This window comes from Homo sapiens, chromosome 20 (assembly GCF_000001405.40).
Source record: "Homo sapiens chromosome 20, GRCh38.p14 Primary Assembly".
In the NCBI taxonomy this organism is placed as follows: Eukaryota; Metazoa; Chordata; class Mammalia; order Primates; family Hominidae; genus Homo; species Homo sapiens.
The window spans coordinates 44,988,540-45,004,362 of record NC_000020.11 but is presented as its reverse complement, the minus strand read 5'-3'; the positions used below and the strand labels follow the sequence as shown (position 1 = coordinate 45,004,362).

General features: G+C 38.1%; 1 protein-coding gene across 8 annotated transcripts in view; it reads right to left on the bottom strand.

Annotated features, from left to right (window-relative positions):
- The window catches only part of STK4 (serine/threonine kinase 4), a 113,510-nt gene that overhangs the window by 75,659 nt on the left and 22,028 nt on the right, over positions 1–15,823 (bottom strand). For all 8 annotated transcript variants that reach the window (XM_017028031.3, XM_011529018.4, XM_047440425.1 and 5 more), the window contains 4 exons: positions 9,106–9,273; positions 7,057–7,194; positions 3,843–3,971; positions 3,010–3,196 (listed from right to left, as the gene is read on the bottom strand). In XM_017028031.3, coding sequence (XP_016883520.1) covers positions 3,010–3,196; positions 3,843–3,971; positions 7,057–7,194; positions 9,106–9,273 — 622 coding nt within the window. The remainder of the gene's footprint in view (positions 1–3,009; positions 3,197–3,842; positions 3,972–7,056; positions 7,195–9,105; positions 9,274–15,823) is intronic.

Here is a 15,823-nt window from a genome sequence, read left to right as displayed (position 1 = left end):
GCACTCGGGGAGGCCAAGATGGGGGAATCACTTGAGGTCAAGAGTTCAAGACCAGCCTGGCCAACATGGTGAAACCCCATCTCTACTAAAAATACAAAAATTAGCCAGGCATGGTGGCACACGCCTGTAATCCCAGCTACACAGGAAGCTGAGGCAGGAGAATCACTTGAACTCAGAAGGCAGAGGTTGCAATGAGCCAAGATCACACCACTGCACTCCAGCCTGGGCGAAAGAGCAAGACTCCGTCTCAAAAAAAAAGAAAAAACTGGTTGTGATCAATTAGTTGTAAACACCACTGCACTCGGACTAACCAACAGTTATCATTTTTTTAAAGACATTTTTAGAGGCCGGGAACAGTGACTCAACCTGTAATTCCAACACTTTGGGAGGCTGAAGTGGGCAGATCATGTGAGATCAGGAGTTTGAGACCAGCCTGGCCAACATGGTGAAACCCCATCTCTACTAAAAATACAAAAAAAGTAGCCAGGTGTGGCAGCACACGCCTGTAGTCGCAGCTACTCGGGAGGCTGAGACAGGAGAATCACTTGAACCCGGGAGGTGGAGGTTGCTGTGAGCCAAGATCGCACCACTGCACTCCAAGCCTGGGCGACAGAGTGAGACTCCGTCTCCAAAAAAAAAAAAAAAAAAAATTTAGAGACGTTTTAGGTTCACAGCAAAACTGAGAGGAAGGAAAGGAGGGTTCCCATATCCCATATACTCCCTGCCACACATGCATAGCCTCCCTTAACATTTATAATTTTAATTTCCAAGGATAAACATTTCATAGAGGTTCAAATAAGGAACTAAATGAAAGTCTATCCATTTTCACAAATTTTAACCTCTAGAAATTTCAGTTCTGCAAGTCATGAATTACACAATTTTTATAAATGTGTTGACTATTAGAGGAATAAGGGACAATGAAAATAAACAAGTTTAGTAATAATTTAATTTTACTGATTAGGGCACTGAGACCCATAGGAGGAAAGTGAATTATCTAACACCACATAGATCAGTATCTGAGCCCCAGGCTTGTACCTGGTCCAATATTAAATATTAAATCAGGCCAGGAGAGGTGGCTCACACCTCTAATTCCAGCACTTTGGGAGGCCAAGGCAGGATGATCACTTAAGACCAGGAGCCCAAAACCAGCCTGGGCATCATAGCAAGACCCTGTCTCTACAAAAAATTTAAAAATTAGCTGGACACACCTATACATACTCCCAGCTACTTGGGAGACTGAGGTGGGAGGATAGTTTGAGCCCAGGAGATCAAGGTTACAGTGAGCTGATCATACCTACTGTACGCTAACCTGGGCAAGAACAAGACCCTATCTGTTAAAAAAATAATAACTTAAATAAATACTTAAAATCAATTATAAAGAAATGGTATGATGACTCAGATTTACTTTGAATTAATTCATTTTACTATTTTCTAGAGTTATTATCAGAAAAAAAAAAAAATCTTGCCCAAAATACCACTGATGTCATAGCATGTCCTATAAATCAGGACTTTGAAGCCTGCATTACCTTAAGAATCTTTTTTACCCCTTACTCCTCTCACTGCTTTTCATGGCCTTAAAAATGAATACTTTTACAAAGTGTTTACTAATTGCTTTTTGGTGAGGTGGGGCTGAAATAAGACGGGCAGTGAGTTGATCATTGCTGAAGCTGAGTGATATAGGTCTATAGGGGTCATTATATTATTCTGTGTAATTGTATGTATGTTTTAATTTTCCATAATGATAAATTTAAGTAACTCCTAAAACAATAAGGAATTTTTAAAAATCTCAAAATAAGTGGCAAATCTGTCAAATCTGTAATCCAAAAGGGAGAATTACAAAATCTGCAACAGACTGTCTGTGAACAAATTGTATTTAATGTTACTCAGACTGTGACTGCTTAGGTTTTTAAACAGTTCTCTTCATGATTATAATAAAAGATGCATGTTTCTCATTAGACATGCTAAAACTATCCAGTTCTGAAAACAAGTTCAGAAACTGAAAAGAATAAACAACTCATTGAATTAGCATTTGAATTATGAAAATCACATTTGGAAAAAAATTAATTCTTTAAATAAAAATGGGCACAATTTCCCTAACACGTGCATGTACAACACATACTAACAGGTTGGCCTAGTTGTATTACACAGCGGTTATAATCATCTACATAATTAAACCCCTTAAGACAAGTAGACAATTTAGTACTCAGAGTCAATGAAAATAACTAGAGGTCAGTAGCTCATTACTGCAAAATGAACATTACTAACAAATCATACTGGCTACTTTTAAAACAGGAGGGGAGGAGAAGGGCAATCTAGTACATGGCATTTAGTTGATAATTTGTACATCATCAAACATGGGATTTCTACAGTGCCTTAATCTTGAGTTTAGGGGATGAAACATAAAGCACCACGAGCACTGAATGACACAAGAATTTCACTCTAAGATAGGAGCTGAACACAAGATGTTAGGCCTAGTCACAGGCAAAAAAGGATCAGCCAGATACGGACAGAAGCAGAGATGAGTTTAAACTAGAAGAAACTGGATAGAACTTTTCAACTTGTACAGTCATCTTTCATTGACTGACAGTATTGGTAAACTTGGGTTAGACCCAAACTGTCATGAAAATAAACTGAAGATGTATGTACAGTAAATAACTCAGAATGTCATTACACCTTCACAGGAATTATGCATCAAACAATGCATGTGCTTGCCTCCAAAGATCAAGGTAAGGAAGGAAAATAATAACAACATTCAATGAGAAAATGGCTGCTCTGGTTCAAAAGCAAAATTCTTTCTCACTGTTGATGCTTTCTTGACTTTGACTCCACAGGCCAGCTTTCCCCCTCACCAAACCTCCTGTCCCCATCGCAAACTTCCAAGTTTTCTACTCCTTTGGTTGTGACAAAAGAAAGAACCCAAGGCTAAGCCTGCATGAACCATGAGAATCTGTCTTCTCTGAAATATGTATGCTTGGTCTAAGAAGTCAGTGAATTTACTCAGAGCCTTACTTTTCATAGTTCCTTCCTCTTCCTCATCCTCTGCATTGATCACCATGGTGCCCAGTTGTGATGGCAACGTGTCATCGTGCTCAATCATAGTATTGGCTCCATCAGTCATGGTGCTGGCTACTCGGACAGTGCCCATCTCATCACCCACTGCTCGAACCATCGTGCCAGAATCCATTTCATCCTCTTCCTGTAAAAGGATACAATCTCAAATTGGGGCTAATTTGACAAAAGACTTTGAGTTTTCTGAATAACTACTACCTGTCTTAGTGAAAATATTTCGAGATTTAACACTTATTCAGGTCCTAAACTCACCTTCCAGAAATGAAAGCGCTGTTACTTAAGCAAAGAAGACAAATTTATCCACGTGATAATAAGCAGTGTATCTAACCCTAAAGGAATTCTTCCTCTACTCTTCTTAATAGAGTTTTGTGACATAGATCTAAGAAACTCATGTGAACATCTTTGGAATCTCAGGGTTGTGAAGAAGTCTATAAATGTAAAAGCTACATGTTAAGTATGGATCCCAGATTCCCCAAAAGGATATGAAAAGCCAAGTCCCAGACCTGAGCATTCTCTCTCTAAAATAAAAAGTTAAATTGAGTAAAAGAGGGGCAAAGAGTAAAATTTAAAAGTGTTTTAGGAAGCACTGGGAGAAGAATAAGCACAGATACAACAACCCTCTAGCATGCGTTGATCCAGGTTAGGACATAGTTATGCTGGAAGCATCTCCAGCTCCAAGTTGATCCAATACCTCCTACTCATCTTACCTGGTTTGGCAATCATAAAATAACAAGCATCAATGTCTGAGGCCCACAGCAACGGCTGCCACTCACTGAGTTTTCTTCATCGTCCTGGTCCACTTCCCGCTGCTGGGATTCCTGGCGTTTCAGTTTCACATCCATGGCTTCATTAATTAAGTCTCGCAGTATTGACACTCCTTTGGCACTCCTGACAAATGGGTGCTAAAAGAACAAAGTAGAAAATACTGGAGACAGTTTATATGGTGACAGTGCCAAAACAGTACCTGGAACACAGTAGGTACTGGATAACATGTGTTGAATCAATCAACGAATCTGATCTTTCTCTTTGTGCTTCGGACAACAGCTAAACCACACTCGCTTTATAACTCTGAGTAGAGCAAATTCAGTCTTTGCCTATCTTTTTCAGCCTGGCTGAAATGCCTATGCCATTTCTCTCTGTCAAATCTAGCGATTCTCAATAGGGAGTATCATCTCCTGGAGGAACTTGTGTAAACATGTTGGGAACATGTTATAGCTGCCACAATGTTTGGTGAGCACAAATGGCATGGGACATTAGCAATTTTGCAAAGTACAGAACTGTCCTGTACGACCATGAACTGTGGCAGATTCTGCACATTTTTCAAATGTCTCAGGGTGTGTATACACCTTAGTAGATAATACTAAAAAAATGTTTTCAAGAGATATGCAAAAAGGCCAGTGATTTGGGAGGTGATTTTAGAGAGGGGAGCTTAATGGAATAAAGAAATTATTTAGAAATCACTGAAAAATCTACTCATCTGACTTGTTCTTTCTATGGTAGCATTTCCAACTACACATTTAGGTAAAAAGGATTTTAGTGCAAAAATGCAGTTGCTGCAGACATACTAAAACTGATCATATATATGTAACAGATTTTGACCCAAATATTATTCAATCACCAAAGATACTTGAAACAAAGGGGTATTGCTGAATTTCATTAATAAAATTTGCTTTATAAGTTTTTAATATTAATACCATCATATGTTTTTATTGTTTGTATTTGTAGCACGTGATAAGAAATCTATGCTGTGAAAGTTACATATGGAAATTCTTTTTGGGGAATTGCCTGTTGTCTTCCAAACTTACTCCAATATTGTCCCCATTGTTTCTTGGCAATCCATTCTCTGTTCTCCATCACCCGTCAAAGGATACAAGTTCCAAGTAAGAACTCCAGAGATGGACAGTATACCTCAAAATGTGGTCAGAATGCAACACAGGAGATACATTTCCGTAACATTTTGTCACTACCCCATCCAGGTAGAAAAAGAATTTGGCAATCCACTTAGAAATAAGACCCAGCTCATTTGCAATAATATCATATTGCCTTGTTCTTTCCACTTAGAAAATCTGTAAGATCATATCCCACCTTCTGTAATAAGAGACAAATAAATCTGGCCTGTTATTATTTAACATCAGTTTCATGCTAGTGTCCACTCATTCTTTTTACTGTATTTCTTAAATGGCGTAGTTTCTGATTTTCTTTTCCTTTTCTTTGTTTTTTTTTTTTGAGATGGAGTCTTGCTCTGTTGCCCAGACTGGAGTGCAGTGGCACAATCTCAGCTCACTGTAACCTCTGCCTCCCGGGTTCAAGTGCTTCTCCTGCCTCAGCCTCCTGCTGGGATTACAGGCATGCGCCACCACGCCCAGCTCATTTTTGTATTGTTTTAGTAGAGATGGGGATTCACCATGTTGGCCAGGCTGGTCTCAAACTCCCGACCTCAAGTGATCCGCCTGCCTCAGCCTCCCAAAGTGCTGGGATTACAGGCATGAGCCACTGCACCTGGCTAGTTTCTGATTTTCTTACAGCTCTTAAATCTAAACTCATTCATGATGCCAGGCACAGGTATCTATTTCATTATGTCTGCAAACTGGGTCAGGCTGAAGTAACTGCACGTTGAAAGCCATATTATTTCATTATAAATTATCTTTATTTTTCTCCATCACATCATAGACAATATTGATTCTTTTTAAATTATGGGCATAAAAAGGTTTTATTATATGTGAGTTTCATTCCAGAAAAGTAATGAGAGTTTTTAAATATATACATTGGTTATAAAAAGGGGGCACTGGGTCTGAAATGACTGCAAACGGTTGGCCTAGCCCAATTATAATAGCTAATATTTATCACGTTCATACCATACTGTCTTCAATACATGTGAACATTGTTCAAAGTAACACACATTATATCATTTAATCATCACAACACATGAGGCAGGTACTGTATCCCCATTTCACAGATCACAAAACCAAAAGAACAGAGAGATTAAGTTACTTGCCCAAGATCACAAAGCTAGTAAATTGGGAGCCAGGATTCAAACCTGGGCAATCTGACCAGGATCCAAGCTCCTAACCACTAAGCATACTGCCTGCCACATGCCACCTGTCCTTCAAGGACCAGGCCTAGAAGCTACCTCCTCCAGGAAAACACTTTTTGCATCTCCAGTCCAAAGAGGCCTTCTCCCACCCTGAACTACAACAGTACCCACCACTGCTCTTAATTCTTTGTCAGACTCGGGTAGACTTGATGGTACCCCTGCTTTGGAATAAAAAAGGCTCAAGTTCTAATACTGACTGTGCTACTTACCAGCTGAGTGACCCGAAATGAGTAAACCTCCCTAAGTTTCCATTTTTTATCTATAAAACTGAAATAATACCCACCCTTCACAGGGTCTATGTGATGATTAAATGGCACATATGCAAAGTATGTGGCGGACAGCAGGTACTCACTAAATGTCAGTTCCCTTTCTCTAATCCCATACTGCCCTGTATTTTCTTACATTATTGTCTTGTTCAATGATTTAACATTCTTTTCTACTCAAATAGATTCAAACCTCCCTAGAGGTAGAGAATGTCTTAAACTTCTTTTACTTTGTTTTTCGAGATAGCGTCTCACTCTATTGCTCAGGCTGGAATGTAGCAGCACAATCATGCCTCACTGCGGCCTCAACCTCCTGGGATCAAGAGATTCTCCCACCTCCCACCTCAGCCTTCCAGGTAGCTGGAACTACAGGCATGCGCCACCACACCTGGCTAATTTTTTGCATTCTTTTTGTAGAGACATGGTTTCACCATGCTGGCTGGCCTCAAACTCCTGGGCTCAAGCAATATACCTGCCTCAGCCTCCCAAAGTGCTACGATTACAGGCGTGAGCCACTGCACCCAGCCTGCCTTATACTTCTTTACTATCTCCACGTAGGTGACCTCATGGCATCTTTTGGTCAGCAAGTAAATGAAATGGAGCGAGATGGCATCACAGGGTGATTCATACCTGCAGGAGCTGAGTGGCTGTGGCCCTCTGCTCAGGGCTCTTTACAAGACACTGTTTCACAAAATCTGTAAAGTTATCTGACCATAGCTCTGGTTTTCGGAATGTGGGAGGAGGATTTGTAGGAATCATGAAGATTGCCTGGTTAGAACAAACAAACAAACAAAAAGATCTGGTAAAATAAAAGTAATGCTCCAATAAAAAATACATGTGGAATTACATTTGAAGCTTGGTAAATGATTTTTCACTTACCCACTGAGAAGCTCACCCAAATTCCAACAAAAGTCTAAGCATCTGATGGTTAAAGAACCTGATATATCTCCCTCTCTCCTTTTCCCTCTCTCATATATGGGTCTTGTTCCCTAAACCTCACAACATCAATCAAGCTTTTTTATTATTATTATTTTGGTAACCACAGTACATTGCCTTTCAAAGTAGAAAGGCGAGACCTAAGAGTATCTACATCCTAAAGATAACCTTGACCCCATAGTTGTCAAGTTTCCCTGCCTCTTAAAAGTTATTACCACCCCCAGATGTCAGCAGCAACTACACAATAAGGTCATCAACCAGAAGTCCCAAAAATCACAATGGGGTCATTAACTTCCAAAGTAAGCTAAATCAACGCATGTGTGAGGGGGAAAAATTAAAAATTGGCCCACTACGTTGCAGTTACATTCTACTATGTCCAAAAATAAGACTATTATTTATTAAATTTCCAATTTTAAAAAAGCCATGTTTTTTGAAAAGTAAAACACTATACAAATAAGCAGCTTAAATTATATTCTTTAAATCTAAAATTGTAACTAGTAAATCTCCTCACTCCTTCTCCCAAAAAAGAGGGAGGACTTACCTTGGGAACATGAATTTGTGTAAGTCTTTTAATAGGAGAATTAATTAGTCAGAGAAGAGGAAGAGCTGTGGTAAGGAAGGATGGAGAGGACCACAGAGCCCCTGAGGAAGGCAGGGTTGGCGGGGGGGTGTATTACAACAGTGCTGTGATGAAGGGTTCTGGGACAGTTAAGCCTGGGAACTGCTTAGGGTGTGAGCACTGGAAGAGCTTCACTGGAGATGCATTCTATGGGCCCTTAACATTCTAGAAGGAGACAGGGGTTGGAGAGTACACAGCCTCCAGATGAAGAGGATATGGGGATCTACAAACCAAAACTTACAAATTCAAAACACCTATAGGGGCCAGGCAGAAGAAAGATAAAAAATGAACAAGGCTGGGTTTCAGTGACATGAGTTCAAAAATACAGTTTGCTTTCTTCTTAACACTATTATAAGAAAAACATTAGAGAAATACTGTAATAAGTGGCAGCTAATACTTGGTGACACAACAGGGAATCATGGAGACTGATAAAGTAGAGAGTTCATACTCTGAACCACTACTCAGCTCTAGTGAATGTTGACATGTTAAAATGTGGTTGTCTAAACTATTCAAAATGAGTGAGTGACAGACAGAGAGAGAGAGTAGCACAAATCAAACTAAGCATTTCTATGGCCTATGTCCTGCCAGAGGGCTATCAATACACAACCTCTGGAATGGAGAGGGGTGGAACACACTTAAATTAATTAATGACTACAACTAGAGTCAGTAGAGGTGTATCATCTATAGCGACACTTACAAATTTACACATAATTCATTTATTGTTTGCAACTTAAACAAGTAAGCCATTGAACTTTTTTTTTTTTTTTTTTTTTTTTGAGATGGAGTCTCACTCTCTCTCCCAGGCTAGAGTACAGTGTCACGATCTCAGCTCACTGCAACCTCTGCCTCTGGGGTTCAAGTGATTCTCATGCCTCAGTCTCCCAAGCAGCTGGGATTACAGGCGCACGCCACCACACCCAGCTAATTTTTGTATTTTTAGTAGAGACAAGGTTTCACCATGTTGGCCAGGTTGGTCTCAAACTCCTGACCTCTGGTGATCCATCCACCTCAGCCTCCCAAAGTGCTGGGATTACACGTGTGAGCCACAACACCTGGCTTGAACTTCACTTTTTAATGATGATCAGTAACTAACCACCCCACTGGCTTTCTGTCCACTTTCTTACCCTCATTGGATGGATATCAGCATAAGGGGGCTTTCCTTCAGCCATTTCTATGGCAGTTATTCCCAGGGACCAGATGTCTGCTACACAGTTGTATCCAATTTCCTGAATCACTTCTGGAGCCATCCAAAATGGTGTTCCTATCACTGTATTCCGCTTGGCCATGGTATCCTAAAATAGAAAGGGAGAGAGACTGACACTAAGCTTAAAACTACTGAGATGTCCACAGAGGAAGTCTACAGAGAAAAAAAGAAGAAAAAAAAAAAAACTACTGAGAAAAAGAGGCTTTTCCAACAATAAAAAAATGCCTTGTACTTGAAATACATATAAAAACCATACTCTGAGCATGATCAAGCAGGCATAGAAGAAATTCAAATGACAAAGAAACACAAAAAGATTCTCAATCAATTATTAAAACAAAAACTAAAATGACTGACAAAAAATTTTAAATTAATAATTAATGCTGATAATAGCATAGAAAATCAGGCACCGAAATAAAATGTTACTGTAGTATAAATTGGTACATTTTAGTACATAAGTTGGCAATATTTATTCAACTTTTAAATATTCATATCCTTTGATCCAAATCTATTTCTTGAAATCTATCTTATGTTCAAGTATCTCAAACGATATGCACAAAGACTGTAGAAATGTCTGTAATGGGGGAGATGAGGAGGAAAAGGAAACAACTCAAATGATCATCAAAAGATAGTAAGTTAAATATAATAAATAACCATATACTGAAACACCATATTAAAAAGAAAAAAAAAAGAAGATATATACCTTTTCCTAGCATGAAAAAAATGCACAACATACATTACAAAGCAAAAAAAAGTTGTACAATTATATATAATATAGCCCTGTTTTTGTAAAAGGAAAATATATATAATAATGATGATCATAACAATAATAAAACAATAACCAATAATATGAAACACTGTTATATCATAGCACAAAAAATCTGGAGTAATACACACCAAACCATTAATTATATCTAGTAGGCAGAATCACTAAAGATTTTTACTGTCTATCCTGTATACATCTGTAACATTCTGAAGGTTTATATGAGCATACATGTGCAATAAAAAAATTTTAAACTTGATATATAAAAAATAATATACAAAATATCTTAGTTTATGGGCTAAAGAAGAATATGTGGATACAGTACACATTACAGCAAATAACCACTTGCATACTTTCTCAGGATGGCATGGCCCTACTGAAAGAGAACCTCCCTACAGTTCCTATGCTTTAGCAAAAGAAGGATTTTTTTTTTTTTTTTGAGAAAGAGTTTTGATCTTCTGCCCAGGCTGGAGTGAAGAGGCACAATCTTGGCTCACTGCAACCTCCGCCCCTGGGGTTCAAGCGACTCTCCTGACTGAGTCTCCCAAGTAGCTTGGATTACAGGCGCCCACCATCATGCCCGACTAATTTTTGTATTTTTAGTAGAGACAAGGTCTCGCCACATTGGCCAGGCTGGTCTCAAACTCCTGACCTCAGGTGATCCACCTGCCTCGGCCTCCCGAAGTGCTGGGATTACAGGCATGAGCCACAATGCCCAGCAAAAGAAGAATTTTTAAACAGAACTAAATACGAAAAAGGACTTCCGATCATCATCACTGATATTCCTTCTGAAATGCCTGTGATTTAGGCTATGCCAGTCAGAAGCAAATGACAGGTCATTTAAATCAATCTCATTGTCAGTCCTATGTAAAAAACTAACACAGGAACTAACTTACTGCTTAGTCATTTCCTTAGCTCTGAAACTTCAAATTTGCAAGGGTGTTTTCAAATGGTGATAGTCAAAATTGTTTTCACTGGATTATTTCAATTAGAAATGGTTACTTGGATAGCTAGAAAGTTTTTGAAAATTAATAAGAGCAATGAGTGTACACTAACCCCACTTAGATTTGTATTATAAAGTTATATTAGTACAATAGCATAGCAATAAAAAATATAAAGTCCAGAAGTTCACTATGGCATATGTGTATATGTATGTGTGTGTGTACATATATATCATATATATGTATATATAATAACCTGTTATATATACCACATATACATATGATTTATGATTAAAATGTCATTTAAAATCAGCAAGCAAAGAATAGATTATGAAAAAAAAAAGCACTGGGAATCTAGTCATTTGTAGAACTCTACACTTAAATGCCTACCTTATACTTTCACCAAAATAAGTTCAAATAAGTTGAAATTTTAAACATAAAAAACAAAGCCCAACGAATACTTTAAAGAAGTACATTAGACAGTCAGGCACGGTGGCTCATGCCTATAATCCCAGCACTTTGGGAGGCAGAGGTGGGCAGATTGCCTGAGCTCAGGAGTTCGAAACCAGCCTGGGAAACATAGCGAAATCCCGTCTCTACTAAAAGTACAAAAAATTAGCCGGGTGTGGTAGCAGGTACCTGTAATCCCAGCTACTCGGGAGGCTGAAGCACGAGAATCACTTGAACCTGGGAGGTGAAGGTTACAGTGAGCCAAGATTGCGCTACTGTCCTCTAGCCTAGGTGACAGAGCGAGACTGTCTCAAAAACAAAAAACAAAAAACAAACAAAAAAAAAACAGTACATTAGCCAGGCATGGTGGCACATGCCTGTAGTCCTAGCTACTTGGGAGGCTAAGGTGGGAGGATCACTTGAGCCCAGAAGTTCAAGATTACAGTGAACTATGATCATGCCACTGCACTCCAGCCTGAGCAACAGAGCAGGTGTGCTGGCTTATACCTCTAATCCCAATACTTTGGGAGGCAGAGGCAGGAGTTCCGGACCAGCCTGGGTAAAATAGGGAGAGCCTATCTCTATAAAAAATGTTAAAATTTTAACTGGGCGAAGTGGCACACACCTGTAGTCCTAGCTACTTGGGAGCCTGAAGCAAGAGGATTGCTTGAGCCCAGGAGTTTGACACCACAATGAGCCATGATCATGCCACTGTACTCCAGCCTGGGTGCCAGGGCAAGACCTTGTCTCAAAAAAAAATAAAATAAAATAAAATAATAAAAAATAAAAAAAACATAGATTAACCATTCTATAATGTTAAGGAGAAAAGGATTTTTTAAGCATGACATCAAAGATAGAAACCATAAGATAAAAGGTAGATGGATTTTTCTATATAAAATTTGGAAACTTATGTAGTATTTTTTTAAAAAGCCATAATCAAAATTAAAAGACAACTAGTAAACTAGAAGATATTTCAGCATATACAAAATAGGAGTAACAATTTTAACATAAATTTTTTTAGTTTATCTTTTTTAATAAGATTTATTTAAAAGATGCAACACTCAGCCAGGCACAATGGCTCAAACCTGTAATCCCAGCACTTTGGCACGCCAAGGGGGGCAGATTGCTTGAGCTCAGGAGTTTGAGACCAGCCTGGTCAACATGGTGAAACTATGTCTCTACAAAAACTACTAAAAATTAGCTGGGGGTGGTGGTGTGCGTCTGTAGTCCCAGCTACCCAAGAGGCCAAAAGTGGGGGTATCACCTAAGCCTGGTGGTTGAGGCTGCAGTGAGCCGTGATTGTGCCACTGCACTCCAGGCTGGGTGACAGAGCAAGACCCTGTCTCCCAAAAACAAAAAAAAAAAGTACAACATTCAATTAGGAAAACTGACACAAAAATGAACATTTACAAACGAATTTTTATAAATGGCCAATAATTAAATGCAAAAATATGTCAACTGCTTTGAGAAATAGCAGGGAAGATACAAGTTGCTGCCCATTCAGCATTAGCAAATATGAGGGGAAAAGAGCACATTTATATACTGAAGTTGGAAACTGAAACTGTTCACTTCTAGAAGAAATTCAGCACTATGCATCAAAAGCACTTTGCCAATATACATTCACATATTTTCTGACCTAGATTCCAATGTAAATAAATTATCCTAAGGATTTACTCAAGGAAATGCTGAAAAATTTAGTTGCAAGAATGTTAATCACAGAGTTTATGTTTATAGTGGTGGGAAAACTCTAAGCAACCTTAATGGGCACCCAACATCCAACTGTAGGGAAAGAGTTAAATAAATCATGCTATATCCATACAATGAAATACCCATGTTGCCACCAGAAATAATATTACAGAGTCTTGGGTAAAGATGACAGCTTGAGCAAATACATTTTACTTTCACTATCTCTCAAAACTCACTCAAAAAGATACTAAAAGGATTGTTTTTTAAGAATAAATCTACAAGAATAAAAAAACAAAGGGGAAAATAACTACAGCCACAGAATTTTAAAAGCTGGAGAGCAGATGGCCCAATAGTAACTAACTGAACAGACTATCAGATGGAATCCTCAGTCAGTCGCCAGGAAAACTAGGAAACAACCTGATTTTAACACCAACCCCTCCAAAAGACTTAGAAATTGGTGGCATCAGGCAGAGAAAAGAGGGGTGAAAACGGACATCCAAATAGGAAGCCTGGGTTGAAAGAGTTAAGAAGCAGCTAAGCACCCTAAACCTTCCTCTCCCATCAAGCAACTAGTGGGCTTCCCTCGCCCCACCCTGGCATTAGACTGGAGGTGTACTCTCTGGGGAGTGAAACCGAGGATCTCTAGACTATAGAGAGTGTGGGTGGTGTTGTGAATCAGGAACATTAAATGAGCATTAACATGTTAACAATCCCCACTGCCACCACCACCACCACTTCCCAGAAAGCTGCCAACAAGGCCTACAGCCTCTAGACAAGAGACCGGAGAGGGGCCTAAACTTAGTAGTACTGGAGGTTTCACAACCAAACAGCCAAGTCAGATCATCTTGTACTACAGTTTCAGTTTATTTTAGTGAAGGAAAAAAAATCTCATTTTTTTTAACAAAACAACATACATGTTCACAGTTAATTTAAAAAAAAAAAAGTCCAGCAAGGTGCCAGGACACAAGATAATATACAAAAATCAATTGTATGTTACACTAGCAATGAACAATCTGAAAATAAGGCAAATCCATTTAAAATAGTATCAAAAAGTACAAACTACTTAGGAATGAATTTAACCAAATACATGCAAAACTTGTACACTGCAAATTATAAAACATTGCTAAAAGAATTAAAGAAAATCTAAATAAATGGAAAGACAGCTTATATTCATAGATCGGAAGACAATATTGCCAAAATGGCAGTATTTTCAAGCTGATTTACGATTCAAAATAATGTCTACCAAAATCCCAACGGCCTTTTCTGCAGAAATTGACAAGCTGATCCTAAAATTTATGTGGAAATACAAGGGACCCAGAATAGCCAAAACAATCTTGAAATAGAAGGACAAAGTTGGAACACTCACACTTAACCAACTTCAAAAATTACTTCAAACTTACAGTAATCAAGACAGCACAGAACTGGTGCAAGGACAGACATATAGGTCAATGGAATAGAATTGAAGGCATAGAAATAAACTCATACATTTCAACAAAGAAAAAACAGTCTTTTCAACAAATGTTGGAACAACTACATATCAACATATAAAAGAATGAAATTGGATGCCTATCTCACACCATGAAAACTAACTCAAAACAGATTACAGATCTAAACATAAGAGCTAGAACCATTAAACACTTCAAAGAAATCATAGGAGTAAATCTCCATGACCCTGCATTAGCTAATGATTTCTTAGATGTGACACCAGAAGCACAAGCAACAAAAGAAAAAAGAAACTGGACACGACCAAAATTTAAAAATTTTGTATTTCAAAGGACACCTTCAAGACAACCCACAGAATGAGAGAAAATATTTGCAAATCATGTACATAAGAGACTTATATCTAAAATATATAAAGAACTCTTAATTCAACAATAACAAGGTAAATAACCCAATTAAAAATGGGCAAAAGATTTAAATAGACATTTTCCCAAAGATACCCGAATGTCCAATAAGCAGAAAAAATGACAGTCGACATCACTAGTCATTAGTAAAATGCAAATCAAGACCACAAAGAGATACTGCCTCATACTCACTAGGATGGTTATAATCAAAAACACAAAAAAGAAAATGTTGGCGAGGATGCAGAGAAGTTGGAATTCTCATACATCAGCAGGGAACACAAAATGGTGAGCCACTTTGGAAAACAGTTTGGCAGTTCCTTAAAAAATTAAACACAGAGTTACCATGTGATCCAGCAACTCTGTGTATCACATGAAAACAACGGTTCACATAAAAACCTGTACACAAATTTCACAGTAGCATTATTCCTAACAGCCAAAAAGCAGAAACAATCTAAATATTCAACTAATGAATAAGTAAACAAAATGTGTTACAGCCACAATGGAATATTACTGAGCAATAAAAAGGAATGAAGAATTGATGCATGTTACAACATGGATGAACTCAAAAACATTATGTTAAACAAAAGAAGCCAGAAACAAAAGGGCACATTATGTATGATTCTATTTATATGAAATATTCAGAATATGCAAATCTATAGTGACAGAAAGTAGATTAGTGGTTGTCAAGGGCTGGGAAGAGAATGGGGACTAACAGCTAAAGGGTACAGTTTATTTTGAGGATGATGAAAATGTTCTGGAATTAGACATTGGCAATAGCTGCACAATTTTGTGAATATACTAAACACTGAATTGTACATATTAAAAGGGGAGAAAAATTCTGCCAAGGCAGGCATTATAGCAATAAGAACACTGTAAGTCATTATTGGGTAATCAATCAATTACTAAAATTAGTAAATGGAATGGATACATATATATATATATATATATATATATATA